Source organism: Homo sapiens, chromosome 1 (genome assembly GCF_000001405.40).
Source record: "Homo sapiens chromosome 1, GRCh38.p14 Primary Assembly".
NCBI lineage: Eukaryota > Metazoa > Chordata > Mammalia > Primates > Hominidae > Homo > Homo sapiens.
This window is the reverse complement of record NC_000001.11, coordinates 81078918-81103807: the sequence shown is the minus strand read 5'-3', so window position 1 is coordinate 81103807 and position 24890 is coordinate 81078918. Positions and strand designations below refer to the sequence as shown.

At 34.4% G+C, this 24890-nt stretch overlaps 2 pseudogenes; one reads left to right on the top strand and one right to left on the bottom strand.

Annotated features, from left to right (window-relative positions):
* RPL7P10 (ribosomal protein L7 pseudogene 10) lies at nucleotides 4782-5613 on the top strand (annotated as a pseudogene).
* Nucleotides 22632-23030, bottom strand: MTND2P30 (MT-ND2 pseudogene 30; annotated as a pseudogene).

Here is a 24890-nt window from a genome sequence, read left to right as displayed (position 1 = left end):
GCCTGGGCAAAATAGCAAGATCCTATCTGTATTTCTTTTTAATTAATACTTAAAAGCAAGCAAACATTACATTTTTGTAAATCCAAGCTTGAGACTGAGAATTTGTACCTATTACAATAATAGCTTATTGCTAACATGTCTAAGCACTTAGTACTAACAACAATCTAATCTAAGAGTTTCTCTTACCATGTCAATTTTACGGAAGGGTAAACTGAGGTGCATTGTGAGTGTTACCTTACACTAAGTCTCATAGCCCATGCCCACAGACACATCACCATACCTTATATCTAGACTTGATTTCTATTTCCTGATTTGCCAAACTCTGACATAGCCTATTTACGGCCTGGAAGCTGACATACAATGTCCTTACCATCCAGTTGGCTGAATTTTTCATATGGGAATGCAAGGAAGATGTGAAGGAAGAACGCAGTAATCACTCCTTACATTTGAATATTGCTTTAATCTTGTCTTATTTCATAATAATGCACATTTATGAGGTAGGCAAGGTAGGGATTATTACTCTACTACTCAATTTTATAAATTAAAAGAGAGCTTAAACAACCTACTCAGAATCATGCTACTTGTGCTAGTGGGGTGAGCACAGGGGCTGAAAACATGTTCCTGAGAATCATGTAATCTCCTGAGCTTCAAACGATTTGAGGAAAGGATTGTGTTTTCCCTATTTTAAGACTGCAGACAAAGATACTGCAATATTCACCAAACTAACAGAGATTTTGGAATTTCTGTTTTAAATCATAGCTAAAACCTCACTAAGAAAATAAGTGGGGCGCTCTGTAATAAATTTTTCTGACAGAGGGAGTCTCTTTTAGAATACTGAATCTAGGCTTGGCAGTAAGTACGTAGATGCTCAACAGGAGACCCTTGTGGAGATGACTCCTGAATCCAACCGCTTGCACTTATCTCTCCCCATAGCATTAGCGTCTGCATTTCTAAAAGTTTCCACTGCAATCTTCCTGGATACCTTGTCAGCCCTTAAAATCAACTGGGCCAATCTTGTTCCTACAGCCTGTTTCTGCACCTGACTTCCTAGGTTCTGTAATAGTAGCAGAATTCTCTCAGTTACATACGATTAAGTGCCTCGGGGTTATCTTTAAGTCTTCATTCTATCCTGCCTTAATAATATTTAGATACATGTCTGTAGATTCTATCTTTATTTATAAAAATCTATTCCTTTCTTTTCAATCCTACCGACATAAGGCTAGTTCAAGCCTTCATTATTTATCTTCTGGATCATTAAAATAATCCCTTGGCAGTTCTCCTCCATGACTATACTGCCTCACTCTAGAAGAGCATAGTTACTATTACAAGACTAATTTTGTTTCTAAACCCAACTCTAATTCTACTATTTCCCTTTTCAAACCTAATTAGGTGTCTATATTCTGTGGAATTAAATACCAATTTTGTTTCCAAGTTTTAATTCAATAATAAAGCAATATTTATTTCACATAACTTTAAACTCTCTCTTTTTGTTTCATTGCTCTGTTTATGTACTATCATCTCCAGGAAAATAGAACTACTTATACGGTAAGATCCCATACTTTCCCACTTCTATTTCTTTTGTTCTTGCTATATTTTTTCCATAATGGGAAATCCTTTTTAAACATCTATCCTAAATGCCTTCACCTTCATGAAGGCAACCCTGCTTCTCTCAGGCAGATTATTATCTTCATAAAATCATGAAAGATTTGTATCTTCATATATCATCATTGATACAGTCAAAATTTATATTATCTTACATAATCATGATTGATGTATAAGAAGAAGTTTAATTTTAGATTAAGCATGTGAAATTTAGTTATAAATACAGACAGGATACATTCTAACTTTGTACTACTACCTAGGCCTACAGCCTACAGAATAGTGCTAGATCCTAGAGGGGAAAGCTTGTTTTTATCCAGCATTTTATTCTATGTAATCTAACATACCTAGATTGTATGTGAGAGATACTTGAAAACTATTTATTGAGATGAATTAAAGTACATTAATCAACAATTGTAGTATAGTTTCTCATAATCGTGGAGATACTTGAAACTGCTATGTTACTCACTGCCAATGAAAACATAAGGTCAGAGACTTGGAGGAATAAAACATTCCTCAATAATTGCATTATTTCATTAGTTCAATGATATATATTCTGCATTAATAATGAAAAGATAATATTGATTTTGGATATCATCATATAAGGAGGACCATTAAACATTATAGATATCTTTTGTTCTTGTTGTTTTCCTATGACTCTCATGAAAATTTGAAACTGTGTTTTATTATCCTCAAATCATTTATTCAGGCCTACATAAATTTTGGTACTGGAAACTTGCCTAGCATAGCACCAAGATCAAGGGCTTATTTTCTATTAAATTAGAATTCAGATCTTTGTATCACAAATTTATAAATGTATGGTAGTATTAGCCACAAAATAATCTGTCATCTGGTCTTTACATTTCAACACTGGGTAAAATGTAAACTGGATAAAATGGAAACTTAATTAGGATATTAAAAAATAGATCTATGAGGGACATTCAAAATAAATTTAGACTGGATATGTTTATAGGGTGAACTGTAATTGTCCACAAAACTAACTGTTTAAGGAAACATCATATTCCCTATGCTACCCCTTTTAAAGGCTATAATATTTAATAAATATGCTGCCAAATTGATCAATGTTTAGAATGTACTTTTTCTACAGCTGCAGAAAAAATCAGAATATTATGGTATTGGGCCAAACAGGTCATAAGAATTGCTGAGAAGAAAGGTACAATCAATTGAGAATAAAAGATGAGAGGGTTATATAAATTGAGCCCCCATAGGAAGAAAGATAAAGCTTCGATGATTGCCTCCTAAGGGCCACACAAGTTAGTAACAATTCAAACAAGGTCTTTGAGCTGAAGTTCAACCTAGTGAATGGTGCCCTGGATGAGACAGTACAGAGTACAGTACTGTTCAGCCATTGTGATGAATGTACTGTATGCAACATTGCTAGCTTGGTTAGCATTCTTTGAAGTCCATGGAAAATTCTAGATTAAAAAATATGCCATGAGGACCAAATGTATTAGTCCATTCTCACACTGCTAATAAAGACGTACCCAAAACTGGGAAATTTATAAAGGAAGGAGGTTTAATTGACTCACAGTTCAGCATGGCTGGGAAGGCCTCAGAAAATTTACAATCATGGGGAAAGGGGAAACAAACATGTTCTTCCTCACATGGTGGCAGCAAGAAGTGCCAAGCAAAAGAGGGAAAATCTCCTTATAAAACCATCAGATCTTCTGAGAACTTACTCACTATTATGAGAATAGCAGCATACAGGTAACTGCCTCCACGATTCAATTACCTCCCACTGGGTCCCTCCCAGACCTCAAGGGGATTATGGGAACTACAATTCAAAATGAGATTTGGGTGGGGACACAGCCAAACCATATCATCAAACAACAGGGAAACATTGCCTTAAACACAAATGTAATTATCAGTGAAAGACTTCATAATCAGATTTTAGGTTGTTGCAGAAAAAGGAATCTGTGGACCATATCTAGTCGGTTTTCTAATTTGTCTTTGACCGTACATTGCAAAATAAGAAAACCACAGTATAGATACGAAATCTGTAGATACACTTCTCTACTTGCTATTTTCATCATTCAAAATATTTTCTTTCATTAGAAAAGATAATTTTTTTCTAGAAATTTGTAATTTGCAAATGCTTGTTTTGTAATGTAAATAAATGTCTTGGTTAAAAACCAGGATAGTTAGAATTGATAAAATGTTTTAACTGTTTACCTCTTTTTAAAATGAGCGTTTCTTCATGAAAACTATCCTAAAATTGTTTTTTGGTGGCCAGTAATTGCTTGTCAATAGAGAGTGAGAGCCTTTGTAGATGCTGATAGATAAGATACGGGAAGTGGAATAGGGGACATATATTTTTCCATTATTTTGTAACAAAAATAAAGACCAATATATTGTTCAATTAGATATGAGACCTCATTAGAAGAACTAAATTTGATTCTAGGCATTCCAATTAAACTGTAAAACACAAATTTAATACAATACAATTTTGGCTATGGAGCTACACAACCAGTTCAATGGATCCTGTCAGTGAAATTGAATGCAGTTTGTTTTGTTTTGTTGTTGCTTAAGAAAACAACAGATTTCAAGAAGAATAATTTAAGTAAAAGGTAAGCCATAGTAACTTAAAGGTATCTCTTCAGTCAATAATACACATCCTTCAAGGTTCGTCTTCTCGATAAATCCTTCCATGACTACACAAGCCCTCAAAAACTATATAAGATGCAAAATGTTAGTTTAAATTTAAATGTCAATAGTTGTAAATAATTTGTTACTAATGACAAAAATCAAGAAACCTTAACATGATACACTTGAAGAAGAAAAAAAACTATGGGAGATCTGAATCTATTTCTGTACTGACAATGCTCCCATTTGCTCACATGATAACTTTATTATTAAAAAAAAAAGGTCGGGCCGGGTGGCTCATCTCTGTAATCCTAGCACTTTGGGAGGCCAAAGCGGGTGGATCACCTAAGGTCAGGAGTTCAAGACCAGCCTGGCCAACATGGTGAAACCCCGTCTCTACTAAAATACAAAAATTAGCCGGGCATGACCGGTGCCCGTAATCCCAGCTACCTGGGAGGTTGAGACGGGAGAATCACTTGAATCCGGGAGATGGTGGTGGCAGTGAGCCAAGATGGCGCCACTGCACTCCAGCCTGGGAGGCTGAGCGAGACTCCATGTCAAAAAAGGAAAAAAAAAAGCCTCTTTTCTGGCTGGAACCATAGAAGGTGTTGAAGAGAAGAAAAAGAAGGTTCCTGCTGTGCCAGAAACCCTTAAGAAAAAGCGAAAGAATTTCGCAGAGCTGAAGATCAAGCACCTAAGAAAGAAGTTTGTCCAAAAGATGCTTTGAAAGGCAAGGAGGAAGCTTATCTGTGAAAAAGCAAAGCACTATCACAAGGAATATAGGCAGATGTACAGAACTGAAATTCGAATGGTGAGGAAGGCAAGAAAAGCTGGCAACTTCTATGTACCTGCAGAACACAGATCGGTATTTGTCATCAGGATCAGGGGTATCAATGGTGTGGCCAAAAGGTCCGAAAGGTGTTGCGGCTTCTTCACCTTCGTCAAATCTTCAGTGGAACTTTTGTGAAGCTTAACAAGGCTTCAATTAACATGCTGAGGATTGTAGATCCATATATTGTATGGGGGTACCCAAATCTGAAGTCAGTAAATGAACTAATCTACAAGTGTGGTTATGGCAAAATCAATAAGAAAATAATTGCTTTGACAGACAACGCTTTGATTGCTCCATCTCTTGGTAAATATGGCATCATCTGCATGGAGGATATGATTAATGAGATCTATACTGTTGGAAAACACTTCAAAGAAGCAAATAACTTCCTGTGGCCCTTTGAATTATCTTCTCCACGAGGCGGAATGAAGAAAAAGACCACCCATTTTGTAGAAGGTGGAGATGCTGGCAACAGACAGGACCAGATCAACAGGTTTTTTAGAAGAATGAACTAAGGTGTCTACCATGATTATTTTTCTAAGCTGGTCATATAATAAACAGTACCTGCTCTCAAATTGAAAAAAAAGAGAGTGCAATGTTTTTTAGTGAATAAACAGGAGTTGTACATCACCCACAGTGTTTATTCATTGGAGTGTATGGCCAGGCGAAATTCCTATGATTTTCATGGTGATAAAAAGCCAAGAAACGCTGATAGGGCAGTTTTGTTTGTGAAGGGTAGAGTGTCTACTTTTCAATTAGACTATAAATTCTTCCAGGGAAAGATCCTTATCATTGATTTATTTAAATACCAAGTACAGTGTAGGCACATACTTAGTCGCCTAAGAAACAATAGAACCAGGCCAGCTAGTGTAGTGACTTGTTAATTGCTACCAGAAAAGCTGAATTACAAATAAACTATTTTTTCAAGCCTGGGGAGAAAAATCATATATATATAAAAATACTGGAAAATAACAGGAGGTGCTGAATCTAAGAAAAGTTTCTGTGATCTTAGGAAAAAAGTTAGAAATGTAAATTGGTTGAATAATTGTAAAATGCAATTGGTAAATATAAATTGCCTGAGAAAAAGTTCACAGAGAACATTCAGGCTAAACATCTAAATTTTTAAGTTAAAAGTAATAGTGATTATTCATAACTGTATATATTTATCCAAAATAATTTTTAAAATAGCTATACATCTAGAAAAGCAGAAATTGACTGGATGATTGTTCATAAAGCTGCAGAGTATAGCCGTTAAGGGCACAAATTTTGAGCTCAATAGCCAGGGTGGGTAACCCAGTGCCACTTCACATCAGTGTTACTTAGAGTAAGCAAAGATAGGGTATTCTACCTCTCTCTTACTTGTTTCTCCTCATCAGTAAAGTGGTGGAACAATAGTACTTAGTACTTTTGTACTTAGCTCAGACCTGAATAATACTTAGCTCATTGAGGTGTTGTGAGGTTGATACTAGTTGATCAGTAAGGAAGCACTTAGAAGAGTGCTAGGCACATGTTAAGCTTTATATAATGTTCACTGTAATAAGTATTTTCTTATGTCACCCTTTGCTTACTATTAACCAGTGACTGAATAAAGTAGTCAACACGTGAATATATGAATATATACCTAATATATAAACACACATATGCATATATACATATATAAAATCATGACAATTTAATTAGATGAAAATGGCTGTTATCAATGTAAAGGATACATCTTAAGATCTTGCAATGTGAAAAGTCAATGCTGATAAGACCTATATAAAACACTGAATTTTATTTCACTTGATGTAGGTGTGCCCAAAATTTGTAGAAAAAAAAAATTACCAGAGTGAATCTTATTTTCACTGAATTATCAGCTTTTGATTTTAGAGATATGCTCTCCCCTAAAATGTGTTTTTGACAATAACATTCTTTTATTTTAGAATGTTTATTTTTGCCTTAACTAACACTTGTTATTATATGCTGCAAACAGATAAATCTTTCTTTTCTTCCAAATCCTTTCTGAGGGAGATTGGTAAATGTTAATGTAAATGTGTATGTTTACATTTATTTTAAAATATGCATTTTTCTAAATGTAGTCTTAGGGCAAATACCAAAATGTTAGCAGTTAACAGTGTTTAACCCTGAAAAAGGGCATTATTATTATTTTTTTTTACTATTTTGCTATTCTTTGTGTTTTTCTTTATATTCTGAAATGTTTATAACATTCAATTTCTTCCATAATCAAAAGAAAATATTTTGTTTTAGAAGACAGTAATTGTTATCAAACCAATATTTCATTCAATCTAACATCCTCAGAAAACATGGATGTGGCTGCTGAGCTCAATCAACATTAAAAGAATGTAATATTTTCTCAAATTATTAATTTTACTTACGTTTCTTTTGCATGGTGCATTTATTTAAACATTTTGGGAAATGATCGTTTTAGCTTGCACTAATACTTAAATATATAAAATAAAGATATAAAACACTTGGGAATATTTAGTACATAGTTTCATGTTATACTTTCTTGTTATTTAATATTAGCTATGATTCTATTAGCTTCATCAGTATGCTACCAATTGGGTCAAGAGGTTTAGTTAGTTTGAGATTTAACTCTGTAGTTTACTCTCTACATTTTAGTATTCCAAGATTTGATGATGTTCTCGAAGTTAGGCATAAACCCCTCCTACACAATTCCTTTAGGTCTGGAGCATCCCCAGCCTGGTTTATTAATTGGCCCACCTAACGGTTAACTCCCTGGGGGACTGGAACTATACTTTGTTCACGCTTATGCACCTATCAATTGGAATTGTGCAAGGCATATAGTACCCACTTTATAGAGTGGAAATTTTCATGTGCTGGCCTTCCTAATGTATGTCCATCAAAACCTGCTCCATCCAGTCTTCCATATCTCAATTAATAGCAACTCCATCCTTCTATAGAAACTTAGGCAAAACTTGTGGCTTTATCCTTAACTACCATCTTTCCCTCACACCCCACAACCTTTCTATTATAAAATACTCAACTCTACACACAACTCCTTTACACTCAACTCCTCATTACATTCAGAATCCAACTTCTCATGACATTCACTTTAGTCTCAACCTCATAAAATCTCACTTGTATTACTACTATACAATGGTCCCCTGTCTTCCTACTTCTATCTCTGTCCCTCTACTCTCTATTCTCAATAATGCAGCCAGAATTATTCTCTTGAAATGGAAATTAGATCACATTGTGCCTTTTTCAAAACCATTAACAGCTTCTATTTCTCGCAGCGTAAAAAGCCAATGGCACACAAAGGTCTACCTTATCTTGCCCATAACCTCTCTGACCTTTCCACCTACTATTCTCTTCATGGCTCCCTCTTCTTCAGCCATCCTGCCTCCATTCTCTGAGTGAATATTGCAGGTGCTTTAGAGTCTTTGCACTCTGTCTGAAGATCTGTATGGCTAAATCCCTCACTCCACTGAAGATTTTACTCAAATGTCACCTTCTCAAAGGGCTTACCTTACCCATCCTATTCAAAATGTCAGTCTCCATATCCTTCCTTGTCTTCGTGGTTCCCCTTTTCCTGCTCCATTTTTTTCCTACAGAACTTATAAACTTCTAGTATATTTTATATTTTGCTTATTAATATAATTATTGTTTTTTGGGTCAGCTACAGCCTGTTAAAATATAACTCCTCCAAAGCAGGAATCTGTCCCCTTTCTTTCCTGCTGATTTGTCCCAATTGTCAAGTAAAGTGCCTGAAACATTTTTGCTAAATGATGCATTAATTATATTCTCTTCATTGTCTTAAAGTTGCTCTTTTCTGTATTATTTTTAGTTTGAGTATGTTTTTAATTAAGGTGTAATTCCTATCTTATTTTGTATATGCCTGTATTTTGTTTTATTTTATTTTATTAAGGTGTAATTCCTACCGTATTTTGTAGCTGTATTTTATTTTAATGCAAGCTGTCTTGTGGGACTTGTATATTTATGCAACCACACGGACTATATCTTTGCTTCATAATAAAGAATACATATGTTAGGAGAGTCAGAGGGACATCATTGTTGAGGCAAAGATAATCTTTGAATATGCTCTAAAAATAGTTTTGACAGCAATGTGTTTCTTGATATAATGACTGTCTAACTGATAAAATGAGATACTAGGTTCTTAGCACTTCATTGAAAGAATCTGCTTTTAAGGTTAACTAATCAGGCAGGAATTACTGACATTGTTTTTAATTCACTTTTTTGAATGACAAGAAATCTTCAAAAACATGGTTGATTACAAAAATAAATTGTTTACTACTAAGATTATTTTGGTTGGTAAATCTGACCCTAAACAAAGTAAGTATTTATAACAGTTAACCTGTATAAACAACTGAACAAATGCGTAAAATCACAAATACAGCAAATATTTTTATATAAAGGGCACAATCATGTTAGATGGTGACAACGTTTGCCTTTCGTGATTATAATGTAATGAGATGTTAAATATTCATGTTAACTAATTTTAACAAAAGGTATAGTGTAGCTATTAATCCATTTTCAGGTAAGAAAAATGAAAGATTTCTGTCAATTTCCTAAGTAATGAACTAGTGAAATCTGTATGCCTTTTATTGCCCCTTCTTTCTTTCAAATTTGCCAATATATTTCAAAAACCATCTTCCATACGTTCCTTTGATGAAATAATCCCTCCCCTCCTCCCTCCCCTCCTCCCTTCTTTCCTTCCTTCCTTCCTTCCTTCCTTCTTCCTTCCTTCGTCCCTCCCTCCCTCCTTCCCTCCCTCCCTCCTTCCCTCCGTCTCTCTCTCTTTCTTTCTTTCTTTCTTTTTCTTATTTTTTATTTTTTTGAGATGGAGGCTCACTCTGTCTCCGAGGCCGGAGTGCAGTGGCGCGATCTCGTCTCACTGCAAGGTCCGCCTCCTGGGTTCACGCCATTCTCCTGCCTCAGCCTCTCGCGTAGCTGGGACTACAGGCGCCCGCCACCACACCCGGCCAATTTTTTTGTATTTTTAGTAGAGACGGGATTTCACCATGTTAGCCAGGATGGTTTTGATCTCCAAGACCTTGTGATCCGCCTGCGTCGGCCTCCCAAATTGTTGGGATTACAGGCGTGAGCCACCGCGCCCGACCTTTTATTTTTATTTTCAATATTTTCTGATGATCTCTCAGATGTAATCCCACTTTAATGGATGACTTTAGTCTTCATAGGACACAAATGTATATATTTTTTTCCAGTCCAGATCTTGTCATACTCTGTACAACTACAGCACTTAAATTAGTGATTATCATCAAAATACAGTTTCCTTTTTATTATATCTTTATTGAAGTACAATTGATGCACATTAAAATGCACATATATAAAGTGTATTATTTGATGAATGTTGACATGTACATATTTGTGAAACTATCACAATCAAGATAATGAATATATTGCATTCATCAAGCCCAAAAGTCTCCTTGTGTCTCTTTGGAATACTATTCTCCCCTTCATTCCTCCCATCACCCAAGGCAACCACTGATCTGTGACTATAGATCAATTTGCATTTTCTAGAACCTTACAAAATTAAGTCAGGCAGTATGCATTCTCTTTTTCTCTCTCTTTTTTTGCCTGCTTCTTTTCACTCCACATAATAACTTTGAGATTCATCTATATTGTGGCATGTAACAATAGTTTACTTCATTCTATTGCTTAGTATTATTTCATTGTATGGATAGATGACAATTTGTTTTCCATTTATCTGCTGATGGACATTTGGTTGTTTCCAATTTTTGTCCACTACAAACGAAACTACTATGAATATTCACATATAAGTGTTTGTATAGACATATGCTTTCATTTTATTGGGTAAATACATAGCCTGAGTTATAGGATTGGGTATATTTAATATTTTAAGAAATTGCTTAACTCTTTTCAAAATGTTTGTGGCATTTTACAGTTCTATGAGCCGTTCATGAGAGTTCCAGCTGCAACACTTTGTATGGTCATACTTTTAACTTCAGCTATGTTGGCGTATGCATAGCGACATCCAACAGTGGTTTAAATTTATACTTCCCTGATGACAATGGTATTGAACATATTTTCATGTGCTCACTGACATTTACACAGTTTTTGGTGAAGTTGCTGCTCAGTAATTTTGCTCATTTTTTCATTGTGCTGTCTTGTAACTGAAATATGTGTTCTTTTATATTCTAGCTGCATATCTTATGTTGGATATATGTGATGTTTTGCAAATATTTTTATCTTTGGCTTTATTCCTTTTCATAACAATATCTTAACAGTGTCTTTTGAGTGGCAAAAGTGTTTCATTTTGATACAGTCCTATTTATCAAGTTTTTTCTTTTATAGTAAGTATTTTGATATATTTAGGAAATCTTTGCGAAATCTGAGGTCAATAAGATTTGCTCCTACGTTTCCTTCTAGAAGTTTTATAGTTACAGCTCTTACATCCTGTCTATGACTGTTCCAAGTTAATATTTTGTATATGGTAGGAGGCCAGGGTCAATGTTTTTTGTTTTTTGTAACTCAAATTTTCCTGCATCATTTCTTGAAAAGATTATCTTTTTCCATTGAATTGCCTTGACATTTTTGTCAAAAATCAATTGCATATATACGTGTGGGTCTATTTCTGGACTGTCTTTTCTGTTTATTGACTTATTTATCTAGTTTTATGCCAATACTAAAATGTCTTGATTACTGTAGAGTTTTAAAAGATCTCAAAATCAGATACTGCCTGTCCTCCAACTTTGGAAACTGATCCTTTTGAGGCTTTTTGTTTTGTTTTGTTTTGTTTAAAATGTTTAGAACACAGTAAACTTTAATGTATGGCTGTTGTTTTTTGGCAGATTTCTGAGGCAATCTCCTGACTATGCCACCCTACACCCTGTGAATTAGTATGTTTCCTACTGTGATTAGTGAGCACACAGACTGTTCACACCCCTATAGATCTATACATTTTTCCTCTCTTCTTTTGGGGTAGTTCTCCTGAGCATAGGTAGTGTCCTCATATACATGTGTTGAGTCAGCTGAAGACTCAAGTTGGAGCATCCGCAGATTTCTAGAGTTTTTCTCTCTGTGTATTCAGTAACCTCCTCTCTGGTACCCTGCTTCACAACTCCAGTTTCTTTGGACTCTCAGCCTCCTTGTTCTCTCTCCTCAACACAGGATGATGGCCAGCTACACCTGGGTTATTCCTCTCTTTGCTGCAACCTAGATGCTCTTTCTAATGACAATCACAGAACTCTTCTCAATGGTGTTCTTTCTCTTAGAAATTGTTGTTCTGCACTCTCTACTGTCTAATATCTGAAAACTGTCACTTCATATATTCTGTCCAGTTTTTTAAAAATTTAGGTCATAGGATAAATCTGGTTACAATCATCCCATCTTGACTGACAATGGAAGACTTCTATAGAATTTTTTTAATGTCCTCAAATCCAAAGGTTTAAAATCCAAAGCGATCTAACTATGCTACTCTATTCAGAGCTGGAAGGAACTTAATCTCACTTGAAATCATACTAGCACTTTTATGTCATCCCATATTCTACCCCTTCTTTACCCCAATTTCTTTACTTATCAGTTTTTCTTCTCTTTCAATCTTACGCATTTATGACCTGTGATCTCTTGACTCCCTCTGATAACCCAGTCTGTTAGTATCCTTTCATTTCTGTATTCTTCCTAATTCTCCCTGGATATCAGTTTAGCTAATCTCTAATAAGAGAAAAATTCTATTACCATATTTTTGTTCTTCTGTTTCTGATTCCATAGACTATGGTTTACTAAAGCTTGCTAGAAAATTCTCGATATTATATAGTTGATCTGTCTAAAATAAAGCCATATACATTTTTTAAAGATTGAAATCATACAGAAAGAATATCTTCTCTAATCACAATGAAATGAAGCTGAAAATTTATAAAAGAAGGGAAACTGGAAAATTAATATGAAGAAATTAAACAAGACACTCAAACAATCAAAGTCTCAAAGAAAAAATACAAAGAAAATTAGGAGATACAGATGAAAGAAAACAAAAGCACAACATATTAAAGCTTATGGAATGTAGCAAAGGTAGTGCTTAGAGAAAATTTTATATCAATAAATGCCAACATTAAAAATAGGAAGAAAAATCTCAATTCAGTAAGCTAAATTTGTACCTCAGGGAAATAGAAAAAGAGCTAACTAAACCCAAAGCTAGTAGAAAGAAAAGAACAATAAATTTAGAGTGGAGATAAACACAATAGAGACTAGAAAAGTAATAGCAATAAATTAATGAAACCAAAAGTTGGTCTTTTTGAATCAGTGACATTTAGAAACCTTTAGCTAGACTGATGAAGAAAAATAGAGAAGAAACAAATAACTAAAATAAATGAATTTGGGAACATTACTATAGACACTGAAGAAATAAAAAGGATTATAAGAAAATGCTATGAACAATTGTACCCCAACAAATTAGATAACCTAGATGAAATGGGCAAATTCCTAGAAATACACAAATTGGGGCTGAGTTGCTAGAATTTCCTTCTTCTGCCATAGAGCAGGGTCAGCAAACTATGGCCAATGAGTCAATCTTTAGCCCACAGCTTGGTTTTGTTTGTATGTGTATTTTACAGCCATAAAACAGAATGGTTGTTCTGTGTTTAGAGGATATTAACAAACGAAAAAACAGACTAGATGGGAAAGAGGCTGTGTGTGGTCAGCAAAACCTAAAATATTTACTCTCTGACCATTTACAGAAAATGGTTTCCTACCCTTGTTGTAGAAGGAAAAGCCTGAAAGCTTTGGGGGATATGAATTTTGGAGGGAAACATTTTATTTTCATCTACCCCAAATCACATTTTCCTAGGATGTCCCAGAGAACATTTCCTCTCCAAAGGTTTTACTAAAGGCCTTGGATTGCCATTCTAACTGGTGTGAGATGGTATCTCATTGTGGTTTTGATTTGCATTTATCTAATGACCAGTGATGGCAATCATTAAAAAGTCAGGAAGCAACAGATACTGGAGAGGATGTGGAGAAATAGGAATGCTTTTACACTGTTGGTAGGAGTGTAAATTAGTTTAACCATTGTGGAAGACAATGTGGCAATTCCTCAAGGATCAAGCAGGAATAATTTGACCCAGCAATCCCATTACTGGGTATATGCCCAAAGGATTATAAATCATTCTACTCTAAAGACACATGCACACGTATATTTATTGCAGCACTGTTCACAATAGCAAAGACTTGGAACCAACCCATATGTCCATCAATGATAGACTGGATAAAGAAAATGTGGCACATATACATATGCAGCCATAAACAAGGATGAGTTCATGTCCTTTGCAGGGACACGGATGAAGCTGGAAGCCATCATTCTCAGCAAACTAACACAGGAACAGAAAATGAAACACTGCATGTTCTTACTCATAAGTGGGAGTTGAACAATGAGAACACATGGACACAGGGAGGGGAGCATCACACACCAGAGCCTGCCGGGGGTTGTGGGGGTGGTGGGGGGATAGCATTAGGAGAAATACCTAATGTAGTTGAAGGGTTGATGAGTGCAGGAAACCACCGTGGCACGTGTGTACCTATGTAACAAACCTGCATGTTCTGCACATGTACCCCAGAACTTAAAGTATACTTAAAGAATAATAATAACAATAATAATAATAAAGAAAGGCCCTGGAGAAGACAACACCGCTATCCTCTATAGGCTTTTGGAGGCTGTCTTAGGCTGGATATAATGGTGGGAGATGAATCATGAAGAGGAGGGACCATAGGGTGGCCCTGATCTGGTAGAGACAAGAAAGATAAAGGGACACAATGAAGATCTATGGAGGCGCATAATTGATCACAGAGTTTACAGGAGTTAAAATAAGTGACTGCACTTTATGTTGTTGCTTAATATACATAGTTTATGTTTGGTGGACTAAATACCTTTTGTTGGTTTAACAATACAAAAGGTTATCATTTTTTTACATCTTCATAAACCCTCCCTATCATCAGATTATAAAATATTTGCCAATTTGATAGAAGATAATATTTATTATTTTACTTTACATATTGTTAATTAGTAGGATTAACACCCTGTTTATTGACCATTACATTTCTGTTTCTGTGAATTGCCTGTTCACAGTTTGCAACTATTTTTTTCAAATGAGCCATTTGCCTTTTTCTCACAAGTATTTAGGAGTTAAAAAAATTATTTTGAGTAATAAGCTATTTATTTGACAGAATCCAAATATTTCTTTAGAAAACATAGTCAAAGCTACTATTTTTATTTGTTTTACTTTTCCAAAAACTAATTTTACTCATTTTATTAGTCTTATAATTTTGTGTGTTTTTGTGTTGAAGTAATTCTATGCATTCATGGCACAAAGATATTCTGTATTTCTCTTAATGTGTTTAATGTTTCTTTTTCTCATTTAATACTTTAACTTATCTGGAGTTGTTTTTGCTTCTGTTTTGAAAAGTATAATTTAATATTTTCTTATGTAAACAAATTGCTCAGCTATATTTTTCCTAAAGATTTTCAGTGGTCTGCCAAAGTCCCATACATATTTTGCTCTGTTTCTTGATTCTTGATTTTGTCCCATTTTTCATTTTTCCGTCTCCGTGCAAATATAAAATTGTCTTAATTATTATAACTTTATACAAATCTTCATATCAAGTAGTGAAAATTATCTTTCTTGTATTGGTATTGCATATCTTTTATTGTTATTTTGACACTTTGCTTTTATATATGATTTTTAGAATCAATTTTTAGTGGATTTCTATTGGAACTGCAAGAAATTTATAGATTAATTTTGTAAAATTTGACATGTCTTTGATATTATGCCTTCCCTGTCATAAATATGATAAACTTTTCTATTTATTCAAATCTTCCTTTGCATCCTTCAGAAATATTACATATGATTTTTTTAAAGTTTTATACATCTTTCATTAAATTTATACTGAAGTACTATAAAACTTTTGCTGTTATTTAAATAGCATGTTTTCCACTATATTTTCACATAGTTAATATGGGTAAATAGGAATGCTCTAATATTTCTGCATTGATTTTCTTTCTGAAAACTAGGGTGGAACTCTCTTATTGGTCATAAAATATGCCTATAGATTCTGTTGGATTTGATATATAGAAAATTACTTTATTTTTATTTTTGTTCATAAAAATAATAATATCATCACTTCCAATTTTTATAACTTGTATTGATTTTTCTTGTCTCAATACACTGGCTAAAAATTCCAGAAATGTATTAAACATTATAATTAATATCTGGAATCTTTCTCTTGTTCCAATGTAGAGTTTATTATTAAATTTGGTATTGTCTGATTTTGTTGTTAAATTAATCTTTTATTCCTGGGCTTCTAAGAGTTATTTTCCCCCCATTAATTAGTTAATTTTTTTAAATGTTAGCAAAATGGCATGTTCTATTCTTTTTTTTTCTTTGAGAGGGAGTCTTGCTCTGTTGCCCGGGCTGGAGTGCAGTGGCATGATCTCAGCTCACTGCAACCTCTGCCTCCCCGGTTCAAGCAATTCTCCTGCCTCAGCCTCCCGACTAGCTAGGATTAGATGTGCGTGCCACTATGCCTGGCTAATTTTTGTATTTTTAGTAGAGACGGGGTTTCGCCACGTTGGCCAGGCTTGCCTGGAACTCCTGACCTCAGGTGATCCGCCCGCCTCCGCCGCCCAAAGTCCTGGAATTACAGGCGTGAGCCACCGCTCCCAGCCGGTATGTTCTATTCTTTAGGATGAATTGCAGTAATACATTTATGAGGTTTAAATATTCTTTCATTTCTGAGATAAAACTTACTGATTAAAATTCAGTGTTATTGTTATTATTCTTTTTCAATGTATTATTTCATGTGTTAAATTTTATTTGGGATTTTTGACCTATATAAGTAAAATTGATTACTAACTTTAATATAATTTTTCAGTTTAATTTCAAGTTAATTTCATTTCATTAAAGAAATTGGTTGATGTTTTTAATATATTTTTTCTTTTGGAACACTACTATATGTTAAGAAAATTTGCTCCTTAGAATTTGACAAATCTTTTTTTCAAAGCAATTTAAGCTCTTTGTGTTCGTTGTTGGGAGTTAGATTAGTGATGTTGGATTGCTAGTATAATATCTTTAATAGTTACTAATTTATACCAGTTTTCTATTTATTACCTGTCAATTTTCAAATTCATATTTTCTACAAAATTGTCCAATTCTTATTTTCATTTTCTAGCAAATATTTATATGCAGTTTTCTTCTATGTTCCTAGTTATGTTTCTTTCTATGTTTTCGATAGCAATATTTATACCTTCTTTCTATTTTATAAAATTAGTTTTGCCTGAGGCTCATTTATTTTATAATCCTTCTGGGAATCAACATTTAAGTTAATGGAGCATTTTTTTTGTATTTTATTTAATTTCTGGCATTACCTTTATTACCTTCTTTTATCACCTTTTCATAAGTCTGCTTTATTGCACTTTTTTTCTGGATTTTGAAGTTTAATATTTAGCTTATTTGGTTTTAGGATCTTTTTGGGGAGTGGGACATAACAAACTAAAGCTCCAGTTTTCTTATATCACCTTAGCTTCATCCTACAACTTTACCATATAGTGAATTTTGTGTTGTTTAAGTCTAAATATTTTATACTTTTTAGACATATGGTTTATTGATCTTCTAATTAATTGATTTCAAGTGAAATTTTATTGTGGTCAGAAAAGGTGGTGACTGTAATATCGATTCTAACAATTTTTGAGATTTCTTTTGTAAACAGCTAACTGGTCCATCTTTTTGCAAATATATATATGTATACATATATGTGTATATATATGTGTGTGTGTATATATATATATATATATATACACACATATATATATACACATATATATATTTTAACCAGAGTCACACTCTGTCACCCAGTCTGGTATGCAGTGACATCATCTTAGCTCACTGCAACCTCTGCCTCCCGGGTTTCAGCGATTCTCCTGCCTCAGCCTCCCACATAGCTGGGATTACAGGCAAGCACAACCACACCCAGCTAATTTTTGTTTTCAGTAGAGACAGGGTTTCACCGTGTTGCCCAGGCTGGTCTTGAACTCTTGACCTCAAATGATCCACACGCCTCGGCCTCCCAGATTGCTGGGATTACAGGCCTGAGCCACGGCCCGTCCATAAATTTTGCAAATATTTTGTTAGTGCTTAACATTCTGCTTGATGTATTAGTTTTTGATACAGGTTTATTAAAATCTACAAGTATAATCGTATATTTGTCAATATTCATTTTCAAATCACTAAGTTTTATATATCCTTTTGAATATCCTTTATGAATATTCAAATTCATGCTTATTATTTTTTCCTGATGTATTATTGCAGTTTTCAATATTAACATCCACTTTATTTCCATCATTGCATTCACTGTTAGAGTATGTTATGTCTAAAATTAACACTGTAGTGTAGGCTGGTTTTTTTTTTGAATAATATACCCATTGAAAATTTTTCCATCCCTCTATTTTTTGTTTTGCTATGATGTAGGATGTAGGACATAACTTGAGTAAACACACACACACACAACACACACACAAACACACACACCTCAAACGTCTAAATTTTAATGTATACATTTAATCTATATAAATTAACTTTGGTCACTTTGTTCTATCACCTTACATAATGCTTTTATGTTTGGTTCTATGGGTTTTGCTTTCTTCTTTCTTTCCTCTGAAAATATCAAACTACCAATGAAATTCTTTACAGAACTAGAAAAAAAACTATATTAAAATTCATATAGAAACAAAAAAGAGTCTGAATAAGGCAATCCTAAGCAAAAGAACACAGCTGGAGGCATCACACTGCCCTACTTCAAACTATACTTCAGGGCTACAGAAACCAAAACAATATTGTACTGTTACAAAAACAGACACATAGACCAATGGAACATAGTAGAGAGTTCAGAAATAAGGCCACACAGCTACAACCATCTGAGCTTTGACAAAGCTGACAGAAACAAGCAATGAGGAAAGGACTCCCTATTCTGCAAATGGTGCTGAGATAACTGGCTAGCCATATGCCGAAGATTGAAATTTGGCACCTTCCTTATACCATATATGAAAATCAACTTAAGATGGACTAAATACTTAAATGTAAAAACCAAAACTATAAAAACCCTGGAAGACAACATAGGCAATACCATTCTGAACATAGGAACAGACAAATATTTCATGATGAAGATGCCAAAAGCAATTGCAACAAAAGCAAAAATTGACAAATGGAATCTAGTTAAACTAAAAAGCTTCTGCACAACAAAATAAACTATCAACCAAATAAATAGAGGACCTACAGAATGGGAGAATTTTTTTTTTGCAAACTATGTATCTGACAAAGGTCTAATATCCAGCATCTAAAAGGAAGTTAAAAAAATTTACAAGAAAAAAACAATCCCATTAAAAAGTGGGCAAATGACATGAAGGACACTTTTTAAAAGAAGACATACATGTGGCCAACAAGCATATGGAAAGAAGCTCAACATTACTGATTATTACAGAATACAAATAAAAGCTACCATGAGATACCATCTCACACCAGTCAGAATGACTGTTATTAAAAAGTCAAGAAAAAACAAAAAATGCTGACTATAACAGGTTGTGGAGAAAATGATATGCTTATATACTGTTGGTGGGAGTGTAAATTAGTTCAACCATTATGGAAAGCCGTGTTGTGATTGCTCAAAAGCTAAAAACAAAATTACCTTTCTACTCAGCCATCCCATTACTGGGTATGTACCCAATGGAATATAAATCGTTCTACCATAAGACACATGCATGCATATGTTCCTTGCAGCACTGTTCACAATAGCAGACATGGAATCAACCAAAATGTCCATCAGTGGTAGACTGAATAAAGAAAATGTAAATATATACCATGGAATACTATGCAGCTATAAAAAGAATGAGCTCACATTCTTTGCATTAGCCTTAACAAACTGACGTGGGAACAGAAAATCTAATACTGCATGTTCTCACTTAAAAGTGGGAGCTAAATGATGGGAACACATGGACACACACAAGGGAAAAACAGACACTGGGACCTATCTGAGGGTGAAGGGTGGCAGGAGGGAGAGTATCAGGAAAACAACTGAGTACTTGGCTTAATACCTGGGTGACAAAATAATCTGTACAGCAAACCCTTGTGACACAAGTTTACCTTTATAGCAAACCTGCTCATGTACCCATGATCATAAAAGTTAAACAAATTAAATGAATGCTAGATCATTTCATATTACCACAATTCTCATATATTGTTCTTTTTATTTTTTGTATTCTTTTTCTTTCTGGCTTCACTATGGGTAACTTTTGACCTGTCTTCAAGTATACTGATTCTTCCTTCTGTCTTATGACACGTATAATGCTACAATGAAAAGAAATCTCTATCTAGTCTCACTGCCCTTCTGTTTTCTGTATATCTTCTATCTTTATCTGAACCATAAAAATTAACTTCTAACTGATATTAATTCACCAACTGTGCAAATATTAATACCTTATTTTCTGATGCATTGTTCACATCACTCTTTTCCCTTGCCCAGAAACTGACAGTGATTTTCTATTGCCCACCTAATTATTTATCAGCTCTGTTGACTTGTATTGAACATCCTTCACAATTTGGTCCCAATTTATAGTTTTCTAGATCATCTCCTATTGTTTATTTATTTGTTCAGCATATATTTATTTATTTTAATTTGTGGTTACATAGTAGGTATATATATTTATGGGTTACATGGGACATTTTTATACAGGCATACTATGCATAATAATCACATCAGGGTAAATCTGTCACCTCAAGCATTTATCTTTTGTGTTACAAACAATCCAATTATACTCTTTTAGTTATTTTAAAATGTACAATGAAATTATTTTTTACTATAGTCATCCTGTTGTGCTAGCAAATAGTAGGCCTTATTCATTCTTTCTAAGTATTTTTTGTACCCCTTAGTGCTCCTCACTTCCTACCCACCCCCACCACTACCCATCCCAGCCTCTGGTAACCATTCTTCTACTCTCTATCTCCATGAGTTCAATTACTTTAATTTTTATCTCCCACCAATAAGTGAGAACATGAGAAGTTTGTCTTTCTGTGCCTGGTTTATTTAACATAACATAATGACCTTCAGTTATATCCATATATGCAAATGACAGAATCTCATTTGTATGGCTGAATAGTACTCCAATGCCTATATGTACCACATTTTCTTTATCCATTCATTGCTTGGCAGACACTTGCATTGCCTCCAAATATTGGCTATGGTGAAAGAGTTCTGCAATAAACATGGAAGTGAAGATATCTCTTTGATATATTGCTTTCCTCTCTTTTGAGTATATACCTAGAAATGGAATTTCCAGATCATATGGTAGCTCTATTTTTAGTCTTCTGGGGAACCTCCAAACTGTTCTTTATAGTGGTTGTACCGATTGACATTCCCAGCAACAGTCTACAAGGGTTCCCATTTCCCTGTGTCCTTGCCAGCATTTGTTATTATTGCCTGTCTTTTGGATAAAAGCCATTTTAACTGGGGTAAGATGATATCTCATTGTAGTTTTTGACTTGCATTTTCTTTGATGATCAGTGATGCTGAGCACCTTTTCATAAGCCTGTTTGCCATTGGTATGTCTTCTTTTGAGAACTGGCTATTCAGGTCAGACCATCTTGCTCCCCTCCTTCAACATACATTTATCAAACACTGCTAGGCGCTGAGGAGCAAATAATAAACAACAACAAATAGACACCATGGTCTGAATAATTGTGTTCCACCAAAATTAATATGTTAAGATCCTAACACGAAAGGCAATGGTATTAGGAGTTGGGGCTCTTGCGGGTGGGGTGACTAGGTCATGCAGAGAAAGCTTTCATAGATGGTGTCAGTGTCCTTATAAAAGGGGTTTCAGTGATCTGCCCTATCGCTTCCACCACGTGAGGACGCAGTGAGAAAGTGCCCTCTTTGAGGAATGGTCCCTCACCAGACATGAAATCTTCCAGACCCTTGATCTTGGCATTCTTAGCCTCAAGAACTATGAAAAATAAATGTTTGTTATTTATAAGTCACCAAGTTTGTAATATTTTTGTTATAGCATCATGAATGGATTAAGAAGTAGACTCTCCTCAAAAATGACATAAACTCTGGTGGTTAAACCATGCATTAATATAATGATCACAGTAAAAAAAAAATCATAAAATTACAACTGCAATTTTAGCACAGACTTTCATGGTGCAATAAAATAACATATCAGTAGATTCTGACCAGATTAGTAGGGTTGAAAATTCTCCTATGCAAAGTAATGATTCATGTTGAGAAATAAAAATGAGCATCAAGTGAACTAAATGAAAAAAGGAGGAAGAATTTCGTGCAAAAAAAGCACACCACTTTCAAAATCTCTGTGGCAAAATGTAGGGTGAATCACGTAAGGAACTAAAAACAATCTCACTTGAATGCAGAGAATGAAGGTATCCAATTCTGAGATAAAGTTACATACAGAGATTGAAAACAAGGTATGCAGTGTCCTGTAGGATTTCAGATTTTACTTCAAGGTCAGTGGAAATTCATTGAAGATTTTTGAGTAGAGGTGTGATATGATCAAAAGTATGAGCTGGTTGCAGTGGTGGCTCAAATATAGGTTGAGTAGAGTTATGATAGTTATGACGGTTGGAATGATAAGGTTATTATTTTTTGGAAATTCTTGGATAATAATTCATTTAGGCAGGAAGACTGTTAATGGGGGTAGGCTACCTAGGGATAATAAAATTGATAAGATTAGGGATGTTAGTCATGTTCATTTGTTTCAGGCATGGGATAGTAATAGGGTTTTGGTGCTTGAATCCAGGTTGAGTGCCAGGAATGCAGTAGTTGTTAGGATAAAATAAATAATTAGGTTAAAGATGGTGATATTTCAGTTATATATTTGTACTGCTATTATTCAGCCTATATGGGTGATTGAGGAGTATGCTAGGATTTTACGTAGTTGTGTTTGGTTAAGTCCGCCTGTAATCCCAGCACTTTGGGAGGCCAAGGCAAGAGGATCACTTGAGGCCAGGAGTTCAAGACAAGCCTGGATAATGTAGCAAGACTTCATCTCTACAAAACATTAAAAAAAAAATAGCTGGGTGTGGTGGCATGTGCCTGTAGGCCCAGCTACTCAGGAGGCTGAGGTGGAAGAATTGCTTGAGCGCAGGAGTTCAATGAGCTGCAATGAGCTGTGATTGTGCCACTGCACTACAGAATGGGTGACAGAGTGAGACTCTGTCTAATATATGTGTGTGTGTGTGTGTGTGTGTGTGTGTGTGTGTGTTAACATGACTATGACTTCTATAAAAATAGAGTAGATAAACAAGAATGGATATGTATAGTGCAGTTGTAGCTCAGGCTAGAGACAATGAGTGTACACTAGAATAGTTACTACGGTTATGTAGTTGCTATGGTTTTAAAGACGAAAAAATAAACCTGAGAAATGTGTAGGTAAAACTAACAAATCTTTTTACTAGATTTGTTATGATGGATGGATTATGTAAAATCAAGGATGTTTCCTAGGGTTTTGGCTTATTTAATTTGACGGAAGATGGAGTCATTCATTGCCATAATAAATACTGGGGAAGAAAGTCCATCTCTGGTTTGGTTTTGGAAATATGAATTCTCAGTTACCTTTCATTTTTCCCAAATGGAGATTACAATAATGCAGTTGAGGTCCACAATTTAGAGGGGAGGTCTGGATTAGCGGTATAAATTTTGGAGTTGTCTGAATATAAGTGGTAAATAAAGTTGTGTATCGATGAGATCATCTAGGAAGAGGATATGGAATGAGGAAAGAATAGGACTAAGGAAAAGTCTTCAGTTTGCTCTGTATTTCATCATTGGCTAGAGAATGATCAGCCTGAAAAGATCCAGATATAAACAAGCCAAAAAGTTCAGACAGCAGCTAAAAGTGTGCATTATTCAAGAAGCTAAGAGGAAGATACTAATTCCAAAATGAAGTAAAAATCATATCAATTTAGATAAGAACCAAATATTATCCATTAGATCTGGTGATTTTAAAGTTATTGTGATCTTATTTAAAGCTATCTCAGTGGAATAATTGTGTATGGCTGATTGACGGAGTTGTGTGTTCAAAAGAATTTAAAAAGAACATAATTTTTTAAGTTAGAAGAAAGAACAGCATAGTCATATTCAAAGTCTCTGAAGAAGAAACCCAACAAAAAGAAATAGATCACATATTTAAATATGCAATTCATGAAATCTTTCTAAAATTAGAAATTAATTGCAACTACATAATAAATGAGCACATCACATTCTGAGGAACACGTTTGATATTGGCTCAATACAAATATACTTTAAAATAGTAACTGTATTTCTAAAATTAAAAGAGTCATTTAAGCAAACATGGCAAAAGATCATCATCTCTTGTTTTGTGCCTAACCTTGTAATCGAAGTAAAACTCATACACTATAAAATGCAGATAATTTATGTGTACCATCTGATAATGTTTGACAAGTTCATACACATGCAATCACTACCCCAATCAAGACACAGAATATTAGAACCTAAAATTTTCTCAAGCCTCTTTCTAGTCAATACCATCCACAACAATTACTGTTTTTTATTTTTAATCACCATATAGCACTTCATAGAATGTATTTATACAGCACGTACTATTTTGTGGCAGATATTTTTTACTCAACATGTTATATTGGAGGTTTATCCATGTTGTGGCATTGCTAAGTGGCATTCCATTGTATAAAGATATCAAATTAGTTTATTAGTTCCCCTGTTGATGGACATTATATTGCTTTTAGATTTTGGCTAATATGAATAAAGCTTCCATGAGTATTCTTGTACATCTCTTTCTTGTTCTTAGGTGAAGACTTAGGAATGG